The 25,465-nt window shown below is 51.6% G+C and overlaps 1 protein-coding gene and 1 long non-coding RNA gene across 4 annotated transcripts in view, besides 2 other annotated features; one reads left to right on the top strand and one right to left on the bottom strand.

The window, feature by feature from the left end:
* Nucleotides 1-1,368: 1,368 nt before the first annotated feature.
* On the bottom strand, nt 1,369-24,090 carry LOC124904701 (hepatitis A virus cellular receptor 1-like). Of its 2 annotated transcripts, XR_007067238.1 has the most exons (3): nt 23,918-24,090; nt 8,202-10,539; nt 1,369-1,691 (listed from the first exon to the last, which is right to left on the bottom strand). XR_007067238.1 is itself a non-coding variant. In XM_047439795.1 (2 exons), exon 2 carries the CDS (start codon nt 9,774-9,776, stop codon nt 9,120-9,122), a length of 657 nt encoding a protein of 218 aa, XP_047295751.1. In that variant the 5' UTR covers nt 9,777-10,539; nt 23,918-24,090; the 3' UTR covers nt 7,718-9,119. The 2 variants fall into 2 exon arrangements, 1 of the variants encoding a protein (XP_047295751.1); XM_047439795.1 differs by lacking the exon at nt 1,369-1,691 and having other exon boundaries at nt 7,718-10,539.
* Nucleotides 5,177-5,777: an enhancer, noted in NCBI's record as "H3K4me1 hESC enhancer chr19:35600165-35600765 (GRCh37/hg19 assembly coordinates)". NCBI's record gives its function as "activates a minimal SCP1, AML or CMV promoter by ChIP-STARR-seq in naive H9 embryonic stem cells {active_cell/tissue: H9 hESC(naive)}" and the evidence as "EXISTENCE:reporter gene assay evidence [ECO:0000049][PMID:30033119]".
* HPN-AS1 (HPN antisense RNA 1) overlaps nt 8,734-25,465 on the top strand; it is a 47,246-nt gene continuing 30,514 nt past the window's right edge. The window contains exons 1-2 of one of the 2 annotated variants that reach the window (NR_024562.1): nt 8,734-8,809; nt 15,651-15,833. This is a non-coding gene — a long non-coding RNA (HPN antisense RNA 1). The remainder of the gene's footprint in view (nt 8,810-15,650; nt 15,834-25,465) is intronic. The other variant, NR_024561.1, reaches the window with a different exon arrangement.
* Nucleotides 23,979-24,516: an enhancer, noted in NCBI's record as "H3K27ac-H3K4me1 hESC enhancer chr19:35581426-35581963 (GRCh37/hg19 assembly coordinates)". NCBI's record gives its function as "activates a minimal SCP1, AML or CMV promoter by ChIP-STARR-seq in naive H9 embryonic stem cells {active_cell/tissue: H9 hESC(naive)}" and the evidence as "EXISTENCE:reporter gene assay evidence [ECO:0000049][PMID:30033119]".

Below are 25,465 nucleotides of genomic sequence, written 5' to 3'. Positions count from 1 at the left end.
ACAAGGGTAAGGCTCCCTCCTACCACTCTTAAGGCGGGGCCAGTTCCCATAAGGAAGCCGGGCGGGGGGACCTCGGGGTAGGGCTCTAAGCAACAGGTCCAGGAGGAGATAGAAACAGGAAGGGGAGGCCCGGAGGCCAACTCAGTATAGCTAAGGGGGGTCTTTGTGTCTGGGCGGATAGCGTCTCTTCCCTAGACCCTTGAAGCTTGTGTCTGGGACGACCCCTTGGTGGTCTTGGGAGTGGAATGGTGTCTCCCTCTGCTGGGAAGCCTGGGAACTGCAGGCATCCGAGAGCGAGTAGGGGCGTGTACAGGGTGGCTGGGAAGGGCGGGGGGTGCTCTGCCCTTCACCGGAACGGGGTGAACTGGAGAACTGTTGTCTAAAAATCTTGGAGGAACACCCCTGCCCGTGGTTAGATACAGAAGTATTTCCCAGACAGCTTGCTAAGGGGAAAAAAAACAAGGTATTGGGAAACCGTGCAGTGTGCTACCATTTGTGAGCGGTAAAATAATGCATATGTATATACTTGTAATGAATAAAATATTTTTGGAGATTGGCATCCATACCCATGGCTTCTGGAGAGGGAAACTGGGAGGCTGGAGGGTGGGGTGGAAGTGAGACTCACTCATTATCACGTGCCCTCTTATATTTTTTGAATTTTGCATCTTGAAAATGTACTACCTTAAAGGGGTTTAATTTAAAAAATTTGGTTCAGATTTAAAAAAAAATTTGCAGGTCAAAATTTCAACCTAAGGGCTGGTTTCAACCTGGGGGACCAGCAATTAGAGACTTCTGACAACCTCTGAATGTTCTGTAGTTTTAAACACCATGATCTTACATTCTGAGGTACAGACGTTTACGGTTTTTACCCAATCCAGGTCAACCATAAATTCTTCCTAGGCTGGACGTGAACATGCTGCGTCCAAGTGTGTGTTGGGCTGGCGCTGGGGCTTGGGTTTATGGTCAGAAGGACTCTGAGACCCTAGTGTGATGAGCACACTGAGTCTTAGGAAGGGCTGTGAGGAGTAGAGTTTGTGCAGTCACTTGCACCCTATTGGGGATTAGGTCTCATTTGGAGTGAGTCTTCTGGGCCAATCTGACTTCAGTTATGTTTTAAATGCATGTAGGTAATATGTTTTATTAATATATTGTATATAATATACATAATAAACATATTTGAAAAAGTTTCTCTCGTTTTGCTTTTGGAATCATTTGGGCCCAAAGAACCTGTTAAGGCTGTGAGTGGCTGTGATTTCTCCATATCCTGGGAATTCTTGCAAAATGAAAAAAACCAAACCTACAGATAGTTTCTGACATCATAAGTTTTTCAGGAACGCTGAATTAAAGCACAGAATCAAAGCCAGAGCATGTTATACCATCCCTGATTCAAACTTTTATTGATTTTGTTTCAATAATTTCGTTGCTCTTTATTCAAGGCTGGGAGCGTTTCTGCAGGCTCCTGGCCCTAGAGAGGGCAGCCTGGAGGCACCCCCAGCCATGAGAGGGGTGCTGGTTGGGTGGGGCCTTGCCTTTGCAGGTAGAGCCTGAGCGGCCAGGCTGACCGGCTGGGAGGTGTGGTCACAGCGATACGCCAAGGTCCCACTTCCTGGGCAAGATGGGGCTAGAGAGGCCGGTGGACAGGGTAATGTGGCTTCCTGGGGCTTTGTGGAACAGCGCTGTGGTCTCAGCACCTGTGGGAGAAGAGTGGGCACTGGCAGGTAACCCTGTCCCACCACCATGGGGATGGTGTGGCTGTGGACGTATCACTGTCCGCCTGGCTTCCAGGAGCCATGTGAGGTGACACAGTGGCCAAGAGTCCACAGGCTCCCTGACACCTGCCTCTGTGCTGCTCTGACGTCATCACTCACCCACAGAAGCTAGAAATGGAGATTTTTATGATGAAATCTCCTGTTTTGTTTTGTTTTTTTTTTGAGATGGAATTTTGCTCTTGTCGCCCAGGCTGAAGTGCAGTGGCACGATCTCAGCTCACTGCAACCTCTGCCTTCCAGGTTCAAGCAATTCTCGTGCCTCAGCCTCTCGAGTAGGTGGGATTACAGGTGTGTGCCACCACGCCCGGCTAATTTTTGTATATTTAGTACAGACGGGGTTTCACCGTGCTGGCCAGGCTGGTTTCCAACTCCTGACCTCAAGTGATCCGCCTGCCTCAGCCTCCCAAAATGCTGGGATTACAGGCATGAGCCACCGAGCCCGGCCTTCCGGATTTTTTTTTTTTAAGGTGAGTTCTTGCTCTGTTGCCCAAGCTGGAGTGTAGTGGTCCAATCATGGCTCACTGCAGCCTCCAACTCCTGGGCTTAAGTGATTCTCCCACCTCAGCCTCCCCTGTAGCTGGGACTACAAATGCACGTCACCACACCTGGCTAATTTTTTAATTTTTTTAGAGACGGGGGTCTCGCTATGTTGCCCAACCTGGTCTTGAACTCTGGGTCTCAAGTGATCCTCCCACCTTGGCTTCCCGAAGCGCAGGGATTATAGGTGCAAGCCACTGCACCCGGCCCTGATTTTTAAATGTTGGTAACTTCGTTTTCTTAACACTTTGTAGACAGAATGAAAAATATCCAGTGGTTGGATAAGGCCCTGGGGCCACCGGTTGGAGACCCCCATCTTACAGACTAGGGAAACTCAGGGGAGGTTCAGGGTTCCCCCTAACCCCTGTTGTCACTCACTCTGCTCCGGCCACCTGGGCCTCCTTGCCGTTCCTGGATCACTCCAGGCATGTTTCTGGCCAAGAGCCCTTGCAATGCCTATTCCCTTGCCTGGCTCTCTTTTCTCCCGCATCTGGACAGCTCAAAGCCATGAGGTTCAAGTGGCTTTCCCCGACCACCATCGCACCTACCCCCTGACCTCTCTATGACCTTTTGACTTCTGTTTGCTTTTTTTTTTTTTTTTTTGTGGTGCTATCTGCCTCCCCTGCTAGCACGTCAGCTCCTCTCAGGGATTTTCATCTGAATTATAGAACAGGGCCTGGTGCATAGTGGGTGGTCACGAAGTATCTGTTAATTACCAGGCTGGGCACCATGGCTCACGCCTGTAATCCCAGCACTCTGGGGGGCCGAGGCTGGAGGATCCTTTGAGTCCAGGAGTTCAAGACCAGCCTGGGCAATATAGAGAGATCTTGTCTCTACAAAAATAAAAATAAAAGTAGGTTTAAAACAATTATAAAAGAAAGGCTTTCTCCACCGCCACCCCCCATCCACGGAGGCCTTGCAGGAGGAGCTGAGGTGGGGGTGCTGAGGGTGGAGCTGCTGATGGGGGCAGGGGGTGTGGAGGAATGAATGTCTTGGCCAGCTTCCCCATCATGTGGGGAGTGGGGGCGGCGTGGTGGGGGTGGGGAGGGCTTGGGCAGATGGCTGGGGGTCCTGGGTGCGGGCAGGAACTACAGGGAAGCAGGAAAGGGCAGGGAACACATTTGGAGCTAGACATCTGGGACAGGGACTTCTGGTTCAAGTGGGAGCCCTGCAGCCCGCCCCCCCCCCCCAGCCTGACTCAGTCCCTAAGAGAAGGATTGCAAACTGGCGGTCCCAGGGTGGAACCCAACTATTGTACCTTTAGTTTTTACAAAGCATTGCAAAAATTAATAATTGCAAACATTTAAACAGCAGGACAAGCTGTGTTTCCAGCATCTCTGGAAAAGTCTGGACTAAAAGACCCCCATTCCCACCTGGAAGCCATTGCTGAGGTGGCAGGTCTGTCTCCCTGGGGTGCCCCAGGCCCCAGCTCTGCCTGGTTTGATGGAGGGAGGGAGGGAGGGAAGGAGGGAGGGAGGGAGGGAGAGAAGGAGACGGGCGCTTGCGGTTGCTCCGGCCCAGACCTGCTCCTGTCACCTCCCATCTCAGACCTGCCTTCCACCTTCAAGGCCATGATTACAGCACAGACTCGACAGATGCAGCTTCTGGGGTGCCTCGGGGCATGGTTGACACAGCAAAGGCCCCAGGACTGTCCTCCGCAGAACAGGAAGAGAGGGCGAATCCGCCTGAAGGATTCAGGAAGAGCTCTGTCCTGTTTTGTGATCTCCCTCCAGAAAAAGGCTAAATATTTATTTATTGGTCAACCAACAACAGAGAAGACTGAGTCTTTTGAAAACGCCTGGACAAGTAAATAGGGACAGGAAAAGTGAGACACAGAAACTCAGAAGAAAATTACATAGATATAAAGAGATAAAGCGAATCAGGCAAAATACTAAGAATTGAGGAAGCTATGTGAAGGGTATTTGAGTGGATTGTACGGGTTACATGACTTTTCTATAGTCGAAAATCTCAAAAGTTGGGGAAAAAAATCAATTAAACAATATATTTTTTCAAGACAATGTCTTGCTCTGTCACCCAGGCTGCAGTGCAGTGGTGAGATCTTGGCTCACTGTGCAACCTCCGCCTCCCAGGTTCAAGTAATTCTCCTGTCTCAGCCTCTGAGTAGCTTGGGATTACAGGTGCCCGCCACCACACCCGGCTAATTTTTTGTCATTTTTTAGTAGAGATGGGGTTTCACCATGTTGGCCAGGCTAGTCTCGAACTCCTGACCTCAAGTGATCCGCCCGCCTGGTCCTCCCAAAGTGCTAGGATTACAAGCGTGAGCCATTGCGCCCAGCCCTTAAAAATGTAATATTAAAGTTAACACAAAATAATAAATCACAAGATAAAAAACAACACCGAAAAAGTGGAAGGAAAAGTAAATTTAGAACCAGGTAAACTAACAGTTAAGGAAACAGAATTTAAATGAACTTAAGAAACTCTATATTTATGTATATTACTATAGTTTATATATTGAATATTTTATCTATATATATTTTTCCTTTTACTGTCTATATATTTTTCCTTTGCCTGTGTTCTTGTTGGCCCTCCCACAATGTCTTCCTTCTCCTTCCTCCTGGATGAGTTCACCGTTCACAGCCCCTTGGGTCCCAGCTCTGCCCCTTCCTGGCTGTGGGTGACTTAACTCCTCCTGGCCACCCAGCCCCAGCCCCCTAACGGTGGGAGCCCCAAGGCTCTGAGGCTGGTGCTGGGGCTGGCAGGCTCCCTCCTGGCTGCAGAGGCAGGACCATGAGTCTGCAGTTCTAAGATCCTGGCTGGCACCCTCAGCTGCGGGGAGGCACTGACCCAGCAGCCTGCTGGCAGCCGGGACCCATCTCCACATCCCCTTCCCCCTGCACCCTGGTATCCAAGAAGGCAGTGCCGCACTCAGCCTGCGCCAGCGCCACACCCCTGCTCGGGCCTGAGTCATTTACCTACGATTGCTGACTGTCTCTCTATTCTCAACCAATAATCCGGGGGCTTGTGGCTGCAGGACTTAACTGCCTGCGGAGAGTTATTCTTCCACTTAGGGAAACTGCGGCACCCGGGCTTAGTTGTTTAGCGGAAAGTCACCCAGTTAATTAACGGGCAGTCAGGATTCCACCCCACGTCTGGCTGCACACACACCCTGTGTGATTGCAGGGAGTGCACGGAGTACTAAAAACAACAGGGGCGGCCGGGCGTGGTGGCTCACGCCTGTAATCCTAGCACTTTGGGAGGCTGAGCCAGGCGGATCATGAGGTCAGGAGTTCAAGACCAGTCGGACCAACATGGTGAAACCCTGTCTCTACTAAAAATATAAAAATTAGCCAGGCATAGTGGTGGATGCCTGTAATCCCGGCTACTCTGGAGGCTGAGGCAGGAGAATAGCTTGAACCCGGCAGGCAGAGGTTGCAGTGAGCTGAGATCGCGCCACTGCACTCCAGCCTGGGCAACAGAGCAAGACTCCATCTCAAAAAACAAAAACAAAAACAAAAACAAAACCAGGGGCCCACGTAAACTTGAGGGCCCCAGGAACAGTCAGCAGGGTTTGAAGAGGGGATAAGACCCCAGAGAATATTTCCAGAACCATCCACTTCTCCCCTCCCACTGCCCTTACCCTGGCCCAGCCTTTGTCCCCTCCAGCTTGGACGTCCCAGAGCCTCCTCCCTGGTCTCCCTGCTCTGGTCCCTGCCCCACCGCAGTCTGTTCCCACCTGCAGCCAAAGGGAGCCTGGGACCACCTGAGTCCCATCAGGGGCCACCTGGCTCAGAGCCCTGTCCTCGGCGCACCTCGCTCCAGGCAAAAGCGAAGTCCTCACTAGCCCCATAAGTCCCCCACCATCTGGTCCCCGTCACCTCTCTGACCTCATCGTCTCTTCTCCCCAGCCCCTCGCTCAGCTCCAGCCACACCAGCCTCCCTGTGGCTCGTCCAATGCACCAGGCCCCATCCAGCCCCTGCGGGACTCACTCACCCCTGAGATGTGCACATGAGTGCCTCTCTCCTGGGGTTCTGCTCAAATATCACCTTCTCAAGGAGGCTTTCCTTGGCTTCTCAATTTAAAACCATCTTTTCCATCTGGAAGCCACCACCGCCCCTCCCCATCCTGTTCTGTATGTTCTTCCCTGACACGAACGCATACGGCCTCCTGACAAACTATATAATTCATACTGGTGAGGCCTATTGTCTCTCTCTCCTCTGGAATCTCAGCTCCACCACGATGGAGAGATCTTGACCGTTCCACCCACTGCTGTTTCCCCAGCACTGAGCCCAGGGTCTGGCACATAGTAGGTGCTCAGGAAGTTTTTAATGAGTGGATGAATGAACGCCATTCTTTTTTTTTTTTTTTTTTTTGAGACGGAATTTCGCTCTTGTTGCCCAGGCTGGAGTGCAATGGCGTTATCTCAGCTCACTGCAATCTCCGCCTCCCGGGTTCAGGTGATTCTCCTGCCTCGGCCTCCCGAGTAGCTGGGATTACAGGCATGCACTACCACGCCTGGCTAATTTTGTATTTTTAGTAGAGACGGGGTTTCTCCATGTTGGCCAGGCTGGTCTCGAACTCCCTACCTCAGGTGATCTGCCCGCCTCAGCCTCCTAAAGTGCAATTTTTTTGTATTTTTAGTAGAGATGGGGTTTCTCCATGTTGGCCAGGCTGGTCTCGAACTCCTGACCTCAGGTGATCCACTCGCCTCGGCCTCCCAAAGTGCTGGAATTACAGGCGTGAGCCTCCATGCCCGGACTAATGAACACCATTGTTGAGAGTTACTATATATCCCAGGCCCCGCCACAGATGAATCAGACATGCCACCTCCTTAATTTGGCCACAGCTTTTTGGGAGCACACAGTAGGCCCACAGACAGAAAGGGAAGGGCTCAGAACCTGACAGCCTGGGTTCCAATCCTAGCACAGCCACTTTCTCCTTATGCGACATTAGGCAAGCAAGTCTGCCTTCCCGGGCCTCAGTTTCCCCATCTGTACCACTGGGATAATAGCAGTCCATCTGCTGTGCTGCCCTTTGGAGTCAATGGGCTCGTTGTGTGGGACGCTGACAGCATGACTAATTCTGAAAGCTGGTTCCCTTCCTGGAAGGGGGTGGAGTGGGAGGGGTGTGGCTGTGTGTTTTCCAATAGCCAACAATGGAACTCTTGTAGGCAGGGGCCCTCGGGCCTAGAAAACACATCCACCCCTGTGGGTTCTAGACAAAAGTTTCAGGTCTCAGAGTGGAGGTTTACCAGGGCATTTACACTCTTTGAAGATTGTTAAGAAGAAATACTGGTTTCGGGGGACATAGGGACACAGGGGTGGATTCCCATTTTGCCCTCTCTCCCTGCAAGAAGTAGCTGCCAGAGATGGGGGGTAGGGGCAGGATCTCTCCCACCTACAACTCCTGAGTAGGATTAGATAGGCTTAAGAAAACCTCTGGGCTGCACTGATTGGCTCAGTGGGGTTTAATCAAAGTGAAGCATTGGAATTTTTGTTGAGTACTTGGGGTAAGAAAAGATTCGGGTTTTGGACAATGGGGAATACACATTTAATGACTGGAAAATTGGCAGTTATTTTGCCATCACAAGAAAAGCCAGCCTGAGGACAAAGCTAATGCTATAGAGAAACACAGACCAAGAGAAATGCTGAAAAACTGAGTTAGCACCCTGATCAAACCATGCCTGATCTCCCTCTGGAATTTTCAGTTATGTAATTAGTCTAAAAATCATAAAACACAGTCTGTGACTGGTTTGAGTTACCTTTTATGAGGCTTTCTGTAACCAAAACAGCCAAAGTGGTATATAGGGAACTTCTGTGGACCCAGAATCTCTACACTTTCACTAGGCTATCACATGATTTTTACTTAGTTTGAGCCAATGTATTTCTTTTAGCTTCAATCGGTTCAAGAGTCTCTAGATGCCAATGAGTGCTTACCTCATCAGGTCGGGGCTCTCTCTGCAGACAAACCTGGGTCCCATGAACCTACATCTTTGAAATGAACACAATGGGACTGCTGGACTTGTTTCTCCTTCCCAATTTCCACCTTGAAAAGGCGCAATGAGCTGGAGGAGCCACAGGACTTGGTAAAAGCAGAAGCGCAAGTGCCTGGAAACTCAACACTCTTCCGGTCAAAGGAGGCGACGTGTGAGTGCATGGTTGCTTGATAAATGCCAGGGGAGAGTGGGTGGCACCCAAAGATGCCCCTGAGGGTCTCACATCTCTGCCCCGGCCCACAGGAGGACGGGGAGCAGCACACGGCGTGGGTGGAGGCCTGGCAGTGGCAGAATTGCTCACAGCGCTCCCCAGTCCAGAAGGCCTCCCCAGCCGGGTGGTGGTACCTGCCCCCCATGGAGCAGCTGCACTGGATTGGGGGCACGCAGTCCATGCCACTGAGCACAAAGCCTGGGTCACACTGGCAGCCATCCTGGCATGGTGTCAGGCAGCTGTCGGGCAGGGCAGGCTCGGCACAAGAGCTAGGACAGGAGGAGCCGCAGAGCTCGTAATTGCTGCGGGGAGGACAGGCCAGCTCTGGAAGAAAACAGGTAGGAGTTAAATAATTGAGCAAGCATTACTATTCTGGAGCATTTCCAACCAGAATAGGACCAAGGGAGCGGAGAGAGGGTTGTGGGGGCCAAGGGTAAGTCATAAAGGCAAAGGAGGGGAGGTGGAGGCATCATCAGGATGTAGCATAATGGTGGCGGCGTGGTCACGGCGGTGATAACGGTGGCGGCGTGGTCACGGCGGTGATAACGGTGGCGGCGTGGTCACGGCGGTGATAACGGTGGCGGCGTGGTCACGGCGGTGATTAACGGTGGCGGCGTGGTCACGGTGGTGATAATGCTGGTGGCGTGATCATGGTGGTGATAATGGTGGTGGTGGTGGTCGTGGTGATAGTAATGATGATGATGGTGGTAGGGCTGGTGATGTTGTTGGTGATGTGATGGTGTTGATGGTGATGGTAATGATAGCGGTGATGGTGACAGTGATGATAGTGGTGAGGGTGGTGGTGGTGGTGATGACAATAGTTGTGGTTGTGGTAACAATGATGGTGGTGGTAGTGATAATGGTGATGGTGATTATAGTAGTGATGGTGATGCTGATGCTGGTGGTGATGGTGATGCTGGTGGTGATGGTTATGATGGTGATGATGATGTTGATGGTGGTGGTGGTGGTGATGATGATGGTGATGGTGGTGATGGTGATGATGGTGGTGATGGTAGTGGTGATGATGGCTGTGGCTGTGGTAACAATGATGATGGTGATGGTGGTGATGGTTGTGGTTGTGGTAACAATGATGGTGGTGGTAGTGATGATGGTAATGCTTGTGGTGATGGTGGTGGTGGTGATGATGGTAATGCTGGTGGTGGTGGTGGTGGTGAGGCTGGTGGTGGTGGTGATGGTGACGCTGGTGGTGGTGGTGATGGTGACGGTAATGATGATAGTGACTGTGATGATGACAAAGGTGACGAAGATAGTGATGAAGAAACAACCTTGGTCATGCTGGGTCATGTTCAGGTTAGTTCGTTACTTCAGCATAACCCAGACCATCCTGACTGATGCAATAGCACTCAGTGTCATCTGTTATTGTTATTGCAGAGTTTTAAGCAGGTAGGTTCTTCGCGGGAACAGTTAGCCAGAAAGGCATGCAGTGGGTCACTTTGGGTGGTGTTGACCTAGGAGGACATCCTGGAAGTGGTATTGGGCCAGCTGGGGAGGTCAGGCTGAGAAAGACCCTCCCTGGGAATACCCACTTACTGCAGGCCAAGAGGTGTCTCCAGGGCTGCATGGGAACGCTGCGCTGCTGGCTTTCCTGGGCGTAGCTCCCCAGTATGGCACACAGAGTCTCTCTTGAGCCCCCCGTGGCACAGAGGTCATGGATGCAGTTCTCCACATGCACCTGGGGATCCACGTCCTTACTGCAGGCCCTGTAGGGCCCATCTTGGGTGCCCAGCAAGCCACAGAAGGCCTGGTATAGGGCTGCCTTGTCTGGTGGGCACAGAGGGGCTGGGCCCCCATTAAGCTGTTGGCATCAGAGAGCCATGTGCTATCAGAGCCGCTGAAGTCATCCTGGGTATCCACGCTGAAGTCCCCGCCCAGGCCACAGAGGGTGTTGGTGTAGGTCTCAGGCACTGCCACTCAGAGGGCATGGGATTCGTGAAAGGTCATGGAGAGGCCGGGTGCCACCTGGACTGTGATGGCCAAGGGCGTGAAGAAGGCCTGGAGTGTGCCCCCCAGCCAGAGTCAGGGGCAGGCCAGCCTGGGAGCCGTTCACCTGGAACACAGACACCCAGGCTACGTCGGGCAACCACGTCCAGACACCTGCCCCTCCTGGGCCCCTGCTCCTGCCACTGCTGAGATCCACTCTGCACATAGCACCCAAGGAGCCCTTTGAAATCGCACATTAGATCCTATCCCTCCTTTGCTCAAAACCTTTCCATACCTCCCTAGTACACTTGGAGAAAATCCAAACTCGCCACCGTGGCCTGGGCAGTCCCACAAAATAAACCTCTGTCCCCTCTGTCCTCATCTTGTCTCACACACCCCTTCACTCATCTGCCCACTCTGCGCCAGCTCCCCGGGTCTCCCCACCACTCCTCCAACACACCAGGCACCCTTCCAGCCTCTGCTCCTCTGCCTGGACACTCTCCCCTTGTATCTACATGGCTCCCGGTCTCTCCTTCCGATCTCTGCTCCACACTTCACTGCTTCCCTTTTTGTTTTTTTTGGAGACAGGGTCTCGCTCTGTCACTCAAGCTACAGTGCAATGGCATGATCTCGGCTCACTGCAGCTTCAACATCATGGGCTCAAGTGATTCTCTCGCCTCAGTCTCTCGACTTGTTGGGACTACAGACGCACCATCACACCTGGATAATGTACTTGATTTTTTGTAGAGATGGGGTCTCACTATGTTGCCCAGGCTGGTCTTGAACTCCTGGGCTCAAGCTATCCTCCTGCCTCAGCCTCCCAACGTGCTGGGATTACAGGCACACATCACCACGCCCGGCTAATTTACATGATTTTTTGTAGAGACGGGGTCTCCCTATGTTGCCCAGGCTGGTCTTGAACTCCTGGGCTCAAGCGATCCTCCTGCCTTGGTTTCCCAAGTTCTGGGATTATAGCCATGAGCCACCGTGCCTGGCCTGTTACCCTGTCTTAAAGGGCAACACCCTTACTGGCCCCTCACCCCTTTCCTGCTTTTTTGTTCTCCAGAACCAGCTGTCACCTTCTGACATACCATAAATTTACTTCTGTATTTGTTTATTGTCTTTCTCCCAGGGATTTTTGTCTATTTTTCAACAAAATTAAGTTCCTGCCTTCGAAGAACACATATTCTGTCAAAAGGAAGATAGATCATAAACAAAGAAATGATTGACAGAAAAGATGATTTAAGAGACTGACAGATACTTCAAAAGAAAGGGCTGGGCGCGGTGGCTCACGCCTGTAATCCCAGCACTTTGGGAGGCCGAGGCGGGCGGATCACGAGGTCAGGAGATCGAGACCAGCCTGGCCAACACGGTGAAACCCCATCTCTACTAAAAATACAAAAAATTAGCCAGGCGAGGTGGCGGGTGCCTGTAGTCCCAGCTACGCGGGAGGCTGAGGAAGGAGAATGGTGTGAACCCCGGGGGGCAGAGCCTGCAGTGAGCCGAGATCCCGCCACTGCACTCCAGCCTGGGCGGCAGAAGACTCTGTCTCAAAAAAAAAAAAAGAAAAGGAGTAGGGTTACAGTAGAGAGAGGGTGGGAGTGGTGGTTCTTTTCATGTGTGTGGTCAAGGAGGGCTTCTCAGAGAGGGTAACATTTGTGCTGAGACTTGAAAGATGAGAATGATCAGTTATATGAGGACCTCCAGGAAGAGTGTTTCAGGCAGAGGGAACAGCCTGTGCAAAGGCCCTGAGGTGGGAGCCTGCCTGGAGTATGGGAGGACACTAGGAGGTCACTGCGGCTGGAGCAGAGTGAGTGAGGGGCAGGTGGGAGGGGACAAGGGCAGAGAGGTGACAGAAACCAGTTTTGTAGGGTCACATAGGCCACAGTTTCACTCAGTGAGGTGGAGCCATGGGAGGGCGTTGAGACAGAAGGAATGTGACCTGAGTTCGTTTCTTGTTCTTTTCTTTTCTTTTTTTTTTTTTGAGACAAGATCTCACTCTGTAGCCCAGGCTGAAGTGCATGGTGCAGCCTCTGCCTCCTGGACTCAGCTGATCCTCCCACCTCAGCCTCAGCCTCCTGAGTAGCTGGGACTACAGGCATGCGCCACCATGTCCAGCTAATTTTTTATTTTTTTATTTTTTTTTATTTTTTTTTTTTTTGAGACGGAGTCTTGCTCTGTTGCCCAGGCTGGAGTGCAGTGGCACAATCTCGGCTCACTGCAACCTCCGCCTCCCAGGTTCAAGCAATTCTCCTGCCTCAGCCTCCCAAGTAGCTGGGATTACAGGCGCCTGCCACCACGCCCAGGTAATTTTTTGTATTTTTAGTAGAGACGGGGTTGCGCCATGTTGGCCAGGCTGGTCTCCAACTCCTGACCTCAGGTGATCCACCCACCTTGGCTTCCCAAAGTCCTGGGATTACAGGTGTTAGTCACCACGCCCGGCCTAATTTTTTTTATTTTTGTAGAGTGGGGTCTCACTATGTTGCCCAGTCTAGTCTCAAACTCCTGGGCTCAAGCAATCTGTCTGCCTCGGCCTCCTAAAGTGCTGGGATTACAGGCACGAACCACCACACCTGGCTCCTGAGTTCAGTTTTGTTTGTTTTTTTTTTTTTTTTTGAGACAGAGTTTCGCTCTTATTGCCCAGGCTGGAGTGCAATGGTGCTGCGATCTCAGCTCACTGCAAACTCTGCCTCCTGGGTTCAAGCAATTCTCCTGTCTCAGCCTCCCGAGTAGCTGGGATTATAGGCGCATGCCACCTCTCCTGGCTAATTTTTGTATTTTTAGTAGAGACGGGTTTCATTATATTGGTCAGGCTGGTCTCGAACTCCTGGCCTCAGGTGATCTGCCGGCCTCGGCCTCCCAAAGTGCTGGGATTACAGGCGTGAGCCACCGTGCCCGGCCTCAGATTTTTAAAGACTACAACTTTACTCTGCCTGCTGGGGGTGGGGATGCAGCACTAGTGGTACAACGTTGGCTTGACTTTGCAGTTACATGTTTTATTTATTTACTATTATTTTTTAATTTTAAATGTAAATTTTAAATAGAGATAGGGTCTTGCTATGTTGCCTAGGCTCAAGTGATCCTCCTGCCTCAGCCTCCCAATGTGCTGGGATTAAAGGCATGAGCCATCACACCTCACCTGTGTTATTTATTGATCAAATGCTTTTATGCCCTTACTAAATGCCTTCTCCTAGACAATTCACACCTCTTAATCCTCACATACAGGTAGGTACCATTCACTTCCCTTTTACAGATGGGAAACTGAGGCACAGAGATGTAAAGCCACTAGGTCCAGTTCCACAGCTAGCAAATGGCACAGTGGGACTCAGTCCTGGTCCCCTGGGCCCATCACCACAGGCTTCACCGTGTTACCACGTTGCCAGCTAAAGCATCCACCGAACCCCAGGTGGACCCAACACCCATCAACCCTGAGGGGCCCAGACAAGAGTAGAAATGGAGGCACACACCTTACACATCTTCATGTTTAAGATTACAAACCAAGCTGCCACACTATTACATGGAATACGGTCTATCCTCCTGCCTTGATGCATAAACCTCCCTAGCGTCCTGGTGGTCAGGTGCAAAATCAGAATTTCCAACTTTTCCTGGACAGGATCTGGCATCCAAGGAGAGACTGCCCTGGGCCCGTCTCTTCTCTGTGCAGCCCCAGCTCTGGCCCTCACTGCAAGAGGCACTGCATCCCCGTACATCTAGCCTGGGCCGCTCTGCCCAGCTGGGTCCACACTGGCTTCCTGCAATGCTGCCTAGAATGCGTCATGTGGGCCGCATGGTCCACTCTTGTGAGGATGGACCTGGGGACAAGGCCAGCGTGGACCCTGGAAGCAGCTCTGAGCCTTTTAGGCAGGGAATTCCCATTCCTGGAGCACGGTCTGGAAGGGGAGGGCCATGCAGGCTCCAGGCTCTAGGGGTCAGGGGCGTTTCCCAGAGGACTCCAAAGCCCACGGAGTGGGACGCAGCCAGAAGAGGCCAAAGCGGGTGGATCCTCTGAAGCTCAGGGCTGGGGCCCTCTGCCCACTTCTAAAGGTCCCAGTAGCTCTTTCTCCAAAGGGAAGGCCCTTGGGCCACCACCATTTCTTCAGCCTGTTTGTGTTTGTTTTTGTTTTTGTTTTTCTTTGAGATGGGGTCTCTGTTGCCCAGGCTAGAGTGCAGTGGCGTGATCTCAGCTCACTGCAGCCTCGACTTCCTGGGCTCAAATGATCCTCCCACCTCAGCCTCCTGAGTAGCTGGGACTATAGGCACGTGCCACCACTTGTGGCTAAATTTTTAAATTTTTTATAGAGACAGGGTTTCGCCATGTTGGCCAGGCTAGTCTTGAACCCATGGCCTCAAGCGATCCTCCTGCCTCAGCCTCCCAAAGTGCTGGGATCACAGGCGTGAGCTCCCACGCCCGGCGTTGCTGTTCTTCACGCTCATTACTCACTAGAGTTCCTGGAGGCCCAGGACCAGAGCTGGGTGACAAGTACCTGGACGGCTCCAAACTGTCCTGCCAGCAGTGACAGCTGCCATCCTGCCACATCCACATCCACCTGCTGGGCCCACATGGCATCCCACGGCTCCTGGCGCCTGATCTCCACCCAGATGGCATAGGCGCTGTGGTGTGGCCGGCATGTTCTAGCCAATATCTCCCAGCCAGGCCCTTGAACCTGATGGTGGGTCCCATTGAAAGTGTGCAGGTGGGGGTCTCCGTACAGCCACAGTGTCCCGTAGTGCATGGGGTAGCAACCCCAGACACCCCTGTGCTGGCAGCACAGCTCACAGGGCCTGCAGGCATGAGGGTGGCACTCGAGCGGGCGTCCAGGTCCATGGTACACGCACCTCTGATCACAGGGGGCTGCAGGCAGCACCTCAGTACCCAGGCGGATATAGCGGCCCTGCAGGTGGCAGCCGCAGCAAGCGTGGGGCACCGAAGATGCCCGCCTCCAGGGCAAAGCCCTCGAGGCAGAAGCAGCTCACTGTGCACTGGAGGGTGCAGGGCGCGGAGGAGTTGAGGCTAGCACAGGTGGCCGGGAAGGGTGGCCCACAGGAGTCATAGTAGCTGTTGGCTGGACACGCCACACCTGGGGGAGGGGAAAGATCGCCCAGAGGCCACAACCCTGAAACCTTTGCTCCCTCAATTAGAGGGAGAAAAAAATCAGGGTGAGTGCAGGGGAGGGAAGGGCAGGAATGAACCACAGGACGATTCCCAAACTGCCACTGTTCTTTTTTTTTTTTTTCCAGACAGGGTCTTGCTCTGTTGCCCAGGCCAAGTGCAATGGCATGATCTCAGCTCACTGCAGCCTCCCGATTGTTCCGATGAAACTTTTAACCACGTGGTTTGTTATGCATGTCACACCCACAGGCCACTTCAAACTTGCAGCACACAGTGAGCAACTCGGACAATATAGGGTCCAGTGCTGGGAGGTGAGAGGTAGGATTAGGAAGGGCCCAAGAGGAGCCCTGGTCTGGCTTGAAGCTTGGGTTAACATCCTAGGCAGGGCTGGGGTCTCCCTGGGGATGAGGGCTTCCGATCCACCGGCGAAGGAGGCATCCTAGCTAGCCAAGTGGGGAGGCCATCGTTGGAGCTGGGGGCGGTGAAAGGGAAGGAGCACGTAACTGCATCCCAGGCTGGCTCGCCACGCGGGCAGGCAACGCGCAGCGCAGGGCGCAGAGTTGGACGTAGGCCTCCAGCATGGTGCACAGCATGCGGTTGCCCGTGCCATACTGGCAGAGGTCAGAGACACACACCTGCGTGTAGGACACGGGGCTCTCATACCAGTGGCACTTGGCCAAGGGCCCGGAGCGGTTTGCCAGAACACTGCAGAGCTGCTCCACCCGGGGCCTGTCCTGGCAGGGCTCAGCGCCACCAGGGTCCCGCCGGCAGCTGGGGGATCACAGGACTCAACACCACCACCTCCAAGCCTCCTCCTCCTCCTGCCTCCCCCCTGGCCACCCTTGGCTAGTCCTCCTCTGCCCGCACCAGGTTCTCCCTCCCAGCAGCTGACAGCTCCTGGTGCAGTTTTAGACACGTTTAAAAACCTCAACCCCATAGTAACAAATGATTTTCATACAGTTACTCAACATGAGGGAGTCATTAATTTTTTTTTTTTTTTCGAGACAGAGTCTCGCTCTGTCACCCTGACTGGAGTGCAGTGGCGCGATCGCAGCTCTTGGCAACCTCTGCCTCCCGGGTTCAAGCGATTCTCCTGCCTCAGCCTCTCAAGTAGCTGGGACTACAGGTACCCACGACCACAGCCGGCTAATCTTTGCATTTTTAGTAGAGACGGGGTTTTGCCATGTTGGCCAGGCTGGTCTTGAACTCCTGACCTCAGGTGATCTGCTCACCTTGGCCTCCCAAAGTGCTGGGATTACAGGTGTGAGCCACCACGCCCAGCCAGGATAGTTATTAGTTAGATCCTGGATTCTGGAACCAACTTTGTTAGCTTCAGATCCCAGCTCTGCTACTTGGACGAATCCCCAAGTCTGTGCCATCCAATACCGCAGGCACTAGCAACCAGAGGCTACCGAGTATTTGAAATATAGGTAGTGTGACAGAAGATGTTTAATTTAATTTACACATAAATTTAAATAGCACGTGTGTTTGGTGCATTGGACTTTGCAGGACTAAGGTCTCAGTGAAGGGAGACTGGCACGGTGACTCATGGCTGTAATTCCAACACTTTGGGAGGCCGAGGTGGGCAGACCACTTGAGGTCAGGAGTTCAAGACCAGCCTGGCCAACATGGTGAAACCTCATCTTTACTAAAAATATAAATATTAGCCGAGCATGGTGGCGTGTGCCTGTAATCTCGGCTACTCGAGAGGCTAAGGCATGAGAATCACTTGAACCTGGGAAGCGGAGGTTGCAGTGAGCCGAGATCGTGCCACCGCACTCCAGCCTGGGCGACGGAGCAGGAATCAAAAATAAATAAATAAATAAATAAATAAATAAGGTCTCTGTGAGGAGTGCTTCCTGTTTCCCCTGTGAGAGGTGGGGGGGTGGAGTATTTAGGATCAGGGACCCTGAAGCCAGAATGCCTGGACTCAAATCCCTGTTCCACCATTTTTTTCCCCTCTTTTTTGATAGGGTCTCGCTCTGTCACCCAGGATGCAGTGCAGTGGTGCCAGCATGGCTCATGGCAACCTCGAACTCCTGGACTCAAGAGATTCTCCTGCCGCAGCCTCCAAGTAGCTGAGAATACAGGTGTGCACCACCACCAGGCCTGGCTAATTTTTTTTTTTTTTTTTTTAATAAAGACGAGATCTTGCTATGTTGCCCAGACTGGTCTCAAACTCCTTAGCTCAAGTGATCCTCCTGCCTTGGCCTCCCAAAATGCTGGGATGACAGACAAGAACCACCATGCCCGGCCCGTTCCATCATTTCTTATTGTGGGAACTTGGGCAGATGCTTCGCCCTTCCATGCCTCAGTCTTCCCCATCCGTGAAAGGGTATAATCATTGTTCCTGATTCTACCTGAATCAATCTCCTGAGAGTTGTGTGTGCAATTCACACCCTCTTCTTCCACCTTTCTGTTCTCAAAGCCTGCCTGTCTGCCCACTGTTTTCCCTGAGCCCTGTATTTCTCCCAACCCGGGCCCTTCCTGGTCCCAGGCAGCCACCCACCCAGGCCGGCTGTCCTGGGTCCACCAGGCGTTGCCAAAGATGGCATCACTGAGGGTGGGCACCCTGCTGGGGAGCACCTTGTCATCACTGGGGTCGCCACTGAAGTTGCCACAGAGTCCGCAGAGGTGGCTCCAGAACTCAGGCCCCACGCACACCAACAGCATATTGTGGCCATTGAACTGTACCTGGAGCCAGGTGCCCACCTGCAGGAGCACCAGGCCCTGCTTACCGCCTGGCTGTCCACCTGCAGTGCAGGGGAAGAGCTCAGGATCCATTTCCCCCTACCATCTCCCACCCCCTAGTGCCATCCATACACTCCTCATGACCCCACAGCAGGTAAGGTGTATGAATCTCCAAGCCGAGCTGTCTGCTCCATGCCACCAAGGACCTCACACCTCACACTGCCAAGTTCACCTTAGCCCCTTCCCCTTCGTTTCCCTTCCCTTACTTTTCTCATCCACTTGCCTGGCTTTAAACCCCAGCTGTATTCTGACAATTCCCAAATGCCCTCACCAGTCCTAGAACTCCAGGTGTCTGCATCCTGCTGTGTCCCAGCTCTGGGAGAAAAGAGGCACCTCGAACTCCCCACGTTCAAATCTGAACTCCTAATCTTACCCCAAGCTTCCTCTCCTACCTTCTCCATCTCAGGCAGTGGCAGCTTGTCCAGGACGCGGAGGCCAAAAACCAAATCATGTTGGAACCTGCCCTCTCTCTCATCCCACAGCTGATCCTTTCAAAATATTTCCAGAATCTAACCATGTCTCACTCCCTCTACTGCCCTCTTCCTGATTCCAACCACTGCCACGTTCTGCCTGAACAATTCTGTCAGCCTCCTCTCCAGTCTACCTGCTCCCCCCAGGTCCTCGGCCATCTGTCCACTGCATGAAGCCAGAGGGATCTGCTGACACCTGAGTCAGATCAGGGGCCTCCTGGGCTCAGAGCCCTCCCTGAAATCCCTGGAACTCCCAACCCATTCTGAGTGAAAGCCAAAGTCCTTACAGTGACCCACAAGGCCCTACAGGATCTGTCCCCATTAACGCTCCGACCTCACCCCTTACTCTCCCCGGGTTTACTCCACTCCAGCCACACTGGCCGCTGGCCTCCCTGTTCTCTCTCTCTTTCTTTCTTTCTTTCTTTCTCTTTCTTTCTTTTCCTTTTCTTTTCCTTCCTTCCTTCTTCCTTCTTCCTTTCTTTTCCTTTCCTTTCTTCTTTCTTTCTCCTTCCTTCCTTCCTCTCTCTCCCTTTCTTTCTCTCTTTCTTTCTTTTCTTTCTTTCTTTCTTTTCTTTCTTTCTTTCTTTCTCTTTTCTTTCTTTTCCTTTTCTTTTCTTTTCCTTACTTCCTTCTTCCTTTCCTTTCCTTTCTTCTTTCTTTCTCCTTCCTTCCTTCCTCTCTCTCTCCCTTTCTTTCTTTCTTTCTCTTTCTTTCTTTCTTTCTTTCTTTCTTTCTTTCTTTCTTTCTTTCTTTCTTTCTTTCTTCTTTCTTTCATCTTTCCCTCCCTCCCTCCCTCCCTTCCTTCCTTCCTTGTCTTGCTCCATCACCCAGGCTGGAGTGCAGTGGTGCGATCTCAGCTCACTGCAGCCTCCACCTCCTGGGTTCAAGCGATTTTCCTGTCTCAGCCTCCCGAGTAGCTGGGACTACAGGCATGTGCCACCACCCCCATCTAATTTTTGTATTTTTAGTAGAGACAGGGTTTCACCATGTTGACCAGGATTCAATCTCTTGACCTCGTGATCTGCCCGCCTCAGCCTCCCAAAGTGTTTGGATTACAGGCATGAGCCACTGTGCCCAGCCTCTTTCTTTCTTTTTTAAAATTTTATTTTATTTTATTTTAGAGACAGAGCCTCACTCTGTCCTCCAGGCTGAAGTGCAGTGGTACTACCATGGCTCACTGCAGCCTCCAACTCCTGGGCTCAAGTGATCCTCCCAAGTCAACCTCCCAAGTAGGTGGGACTACAGGCACGTGCCACCATGCCCGGCTAATTTTTTAATTTTTAATTTTTAGTAGCGATGGGGGTCTCACCTATGTTGCCCAGGCTGGCCTTGAACTTCCTCAAGTGATCCACTTTGGCCTCCTAAACTGCTGGAATTACCCTGTTCTTTCTTAATAAGGCTAAGGGCATTTCTGCGTCTGGACTTTGCACCTAAGGTTCCCTGTGCCTGGAGGGCTCTTCCCTCATTGCTCATAAGGCTTCTCCTTCCCTCCAGCAAGTCTCTGCTCCAAAGTCACCTCCTCAATGAGGCTTTTCCTGCTCACCCTGTTTAAAAATTATAACTCCCACCCCATACTCACAAGCACTCCTGATTCTCCTTTCTAGTTTTATTTTTCTAGGACTTATCACCATCTGAAATATTATGTATTTATTTTTTACTGTTTGTCTCTCACTATTATAATGTGCACTCTAGGAGAGAAGAGACCTGTCTCTTTTGTTCTTTGCTGTGTCTCCAGAGCCTACAGCAGGGCCTGCTACAAAGTAGATACTCAGAAAAATTTTGTGAGTGGATGGATGGAAGGATGGATGAGTGGATAGATGGATGGATGGATGGATGGATGGATGGATGGATGGATGGATGAATGGATGAATGGATGGAAGGATGGATGAGTGGATGGATGATAGATGGATGAATGGATGGATGGCATAGGCCAGGTGGTAGGTGCAGGTGCCCTGGAAGTGGGCTATGGCCCCATCGAAGGTGAAGTAATGAGGATCTCCAGTGGCCATGCAGGTGCCCAGGGGGCTCTGGCAGCCCAGCTGGCCACCCTGCAGACCACAGATCTTCCCAGTGGGGCAGCACGCCGGGCTGCAGCGGAAATGCCCCGTTCTGTCACAGCTGCAGCGGCGGGTGCATCGGTTCAGCCAGACCAGGTCGGAGGCCAGATCAGCATGCCCTGCCCAGCCCAGCCCAGGTGGACCCAAACAGGGCCTGGTGGAGGCCCGAGGCTGGCCTGGCAGCTGACCCAGAAGAGCAGAGGCTCAGGGGCCGGCTCAGCATGGGATGGGCAGGAATGCCATGCCCAGATTCAACAGCTGGGGGTCTGACCATCATGACAGGCTACTGCCTTACCCAGAGGGCAGCAAACTTGTGACACCTGCTTTCTCTCAGTGGAAAGCACAGCCTAGTGATTAGCAGCACAATTTTGGGGTCAGAGAGACCTGGAGTCCAGACCTAGCTCTGTCCCTTGAGATCTCTGTGCATCCTGTAGCCTCAGTTTCCCCCTCTGCACATTGGAGGCAATCAAAGGGCTGTTTGAAGGTCAGTGCGGTCATACGCATGAGGCTCTCACCACCCAGCTGGCCTACAGTAACCAAGTTCTTGACATATATCTGATACCATTATTAATAACATGCTGGCCCAGTGCTCAAGGCATAATAAGCACTCAGAAAATATTACCTTTTATCCCGATGACAGGATTACACACGCAGCAAATGACCAAAATATGTTCACGATGGTTATCATTATATATCATTAACTGGTTAGCACAGCAATACAGCAGATGCCTGGTACATACCAGCCATTATTATTGTTAATATCACCATTATTTTAATATGCTTACACAAGGCACATTGTAAATGCCCAAACTCTTAATATATTAGCCATTATTATTATTATTACTATTCATAAAATGCTTAGCCCAGGCATGAACACAAAGTAAATACCCAATATATTTTAGCTTATTCATTTAATTATTTTTTTGAGATGGAGTCTTGCTCTGTCACCCAGGCTGGAGTGCAGTGGTGTTATCTCAGCTCACTGCAACCTCTGCCTCCTGGGTTCAAGCAATTCTTGTGCCTCAGCCTCCCAAGTAGCTGGGACTACAGGCATGTGCCACCATGCCCGGCTTATTTTTGTATTTTTCAGTAGAGACAGGGTTTTGACATGTTGGCTAGGCTAGTCTCCAACTCCTGACCTCAAGTGATCCGCCCACCTTGGCCTCCCACAGTGTTGGGATTACAGGTGTGAGCCACTGTGCCCAGCCCCCAATACATTTAAAATTTTTTTTTTTGAGACGAAGTCTCACTCTTGTCCCCCAGGCTGGAGTGCGATGGTACAATCTCGGCTCACTGCAACCTCTGCCTCCCGGGTTCAGGTGATTATCCTGTCTCAGCCCCCGAGTAGCTGGGATTATAGGTGCCTGCCACTAAGGGAGGAGACCACCCCTCATATTGTCTTATGCCCAATTTCTGCCTCCAAAGAAAGAAGTAAAAGCCAAAAGACAGAAATGAAATCCACAGGCAGACAGCCCGGCGCCACACCCTGGGCCTGGTAGTTAAAGATCCACCCCTGACCAAACCAGTTATGTTATCTATAGATTACAGACATTGTATAGAAAAGCACTGTGAAAATCCCTGTCCTGTTCTGTTCTGTTCTTACTGGTGCATGCAGCCCCCAGTCACATACCCCCTGCTTGTTCAATAGATCACGACCCTCTCACGTGGACCCTCTTAGAGTTGCGAGCCCTTAAAAGGGACAGGAATTGCTCACTCGGGGAGCTCGGTTTTTTGAGACGTGAGTCTTGCCGATGCTCCTGGCCAAATAAAGCCCTTCCTTCCTTAACTCAGTGTCTGAGGGGTTTTGTCTGCAGCTCGTCCTGCTACACCACCACGCCCAGCTAATTTTTGTATTTTTAGTAGAGACTGGGTTTTACCATGTTGGCTAGGCTGGTCTAGAACTCCTGACCTCAGGTGATCCACTCGCCTCAGCCTCCCAAAGTTCTGGGATTATAGGCATGAGCCGCCGCGCCTGGCCACATTTTAATTATTATTATTAGCAGTATGGGACCTGATGTGTGATCACTACTCAAATGTTGGCCATCAAAATAATACAAATGGTTTGGGTGTGGTGGCTGATGCCTGTAATCCTAGTACTTTGCGAGGCTGAGGCAGAAGGATCCCTTGAGTCCAGGAGTTTGAGACCAGCCTGGGCGATACGGTCAGACCTCATCTCTACAAAAAATTTAAAAATTAGCCAGACATGGTGGCACGCAACTGAAGTCCCAGCTACTCAGGTGACTGAGGGGGAGTATCATTTGAGCCAGGGAATTTGAAGCTGCAGTGAGCTAAGATGGCGCCCGTGCACTCTAGCCCCAGCAACAGAGCAAGACCCTGTGTCAAAAAAATAAATAAATAAATAAAATAAAAATAAAAAAATAAAAATAAACAAAAAATAGCACTGACCACAATGCTAAAACATTTAGGACAGAGTCTTGTACCTATTAATGATAAATAAAATGAGCTGTTTTGATTATTGTTATTATTACTACTATTACATTGCCAAAGTGTGTAGTGGGGGCTATGCACTCAATAAGTGATGGCTAATATTTTAAAAAGTCAATAGTGCTGACAGTAATAATAATAATACATATATTTTTTGAGACAGAGTCTCGCTCTGTTGCCCAGGCTGGAGTACAGTGGCGCCTTCTCGGCTCACTGCAGCTTCCTCCTTCCGGGCTCAAGCGATTCTCCTGCCTCAACCTCCCAAGTAGCTGAGATTATAGGCGTGGACCACAACATCCAGCTAATTTTTGTGTTTTTAGTAGAATGGGGTTTCGCCGTGTTGGCCAGGCTGGTCTCACACTCCTGACCTCAGGTGATCCGCCGGCCTCGGCCTCCCAAAGCGCTCAGATTACAGGCGTGAGCCACCGCACCCAGCCAATAATAATATTATTAAGCACTTAGCACACAGGGAATGACCTTAGTAACTAGTAGCAGTATTGGAATCATCAATAATAAAGCAGGTCAACACATTGTGAACCCACAATGTGCCATCCGCACAATTGAATATAGGTGTCCCGGATTGGGCGCCCATCCCTGGCATGTTTTGGGGGCTCCCTGACCCCCATGATGGGCCGACCCCCTCACAACAGCAAGACCCTGCCCCCAGCTCACCTGGTAGGAGGGGCCGCCGTGCGCCGAGCCGCACTCCTTCGGGTGCCGGCACCTGGCCCCTGCCCACAGGTGCGCGTTATCGTTGGCGCAGCCCTCGGAGCAGGCAGGGCGGCCGCGGGGACGCAGAGCTGCACCCGGCGCGGGTCCAAGCGTTGCTGGTAGCTGCTGTGCTTAGGACACGTGGCGGCTATGCAGGGAGGAGAAAAAGCGCGGGTAAGGAAACATGATCTGCAGGCCACATTTGCCCAACTCCCTGACCGAGTGCTTAAAATCTCGGCTCTGTCGTGGTGCTTAACCTCTCCAGGACTCCGTACCCATCTCTCCGAAAAGAGTACTGACCTCAAACTGACTTTGAGGGTTAAGCAAGTTAAAATAAATTAAGTGGTTGGGACAGCGCCTGGCACCCTGGGAACCTTGGATAAATGCGACCTATTGTTATTCCAGAAATAGCCCCTAGGTGGCCCACCTTTCTCACTCCATGAACACTGTCTTACCTCCCCCCCACTCCACCCCGCTCCCCGCCTTCCCTATTCCAAACCCTTTGAGGGTTCCCTACGGCCCAGGTGTCAGAGATTCACATTTGGATCTAACATAGGTGGGTTAGAACCTGGTTTTAGGGGTGTCTTGATCCCCAGGATGGTATCGGACAGGCTTTTGTTGCCTGTTGGTTGAGCAAGAAAGCGGCACCTTCCACCCCCACCCCGTAGAACATGACCTGCCCCGATTGCGCCCCTAATGTTGGAACCAGCTAGGAACCCTTAATGGGCAAGCATTAGGGGCCAGCAAAGCTTTGGTGCAAGGGAGGAAAGCCGGATGTTTTAGGAACGATCAGAAAAATCTGAACATGGACTAGGCTTTTCATGATATCTGGGAATTACTGCTTATTTTGTTAGGTGTGAGCAAATCACAGCAGGTTTTTTTGTTTGTTTGTTTTGTCTTTGTTTTTTGAGACGGAGTTTCGCTCTTGTTGCCCAGGCTGGAGTGCAATGGCGCAATCTTAGCTCACCGCAACTTCCGCCTCCCAGGTTCAAGTGATCCTCCTGCCTCAGCCTCCCGAGTAGCTGGGATTACAGGCATGCAGCACCACGCCGGCTAATTTTGTATTTTTAGTAGAGACGGGGTTTCTCCATGTTGGTCAGGCTGGTCTCAAACTCCCTACCTCAGGTGATCCGCCTGCCTCGACCTCCCAAAGTGCTGGGATTACAGGTGTGAGCGTGAGCCACGCGCCCGGCCACAGCAGGTTTTTTTCTTTTTAAAAGTCCTTATCTATTAAAAAAAATAATGCTGGAGTATTTACAGGTTTACACGTTGTCTGGGATTTGCTTTACACAAAATAAATCAATAAGGGAGGGGTGGAGGTGGACACAGGTCGGCCACAACTTGGCTGTTGTTGAGGCTGCCTTCTGGGTACAGGGGCATTCAATAGGCTATTCTCTCTACTTTTATGTTCAAATTTTCCATAATAGTTAAATAAGAAAGAAAGAATTAGATGATATGGCTAGTAATAAAACTTCTTTTGTCTCTGGAGAAAGAAAGTCTTAGTTCAAG

Source organism: Homo sapiens, chromosome 19 (genome assembly GCF_000001405.40).
Source record: "Homo sapiens chromosome 19, GRCh38.p14 Primary Assembly".
NCBI classification, from domain to species: domain Eukaryota; kingdom Metazoa; phylum Chordata; class Mammalia; order Primates; family Hominidae; genus Homo; species Homo sapiens.
Note: the sequence above shows the minus strand (reverse complement) of the source record. Positions and strands in the feature narration are given on the sequence as shown.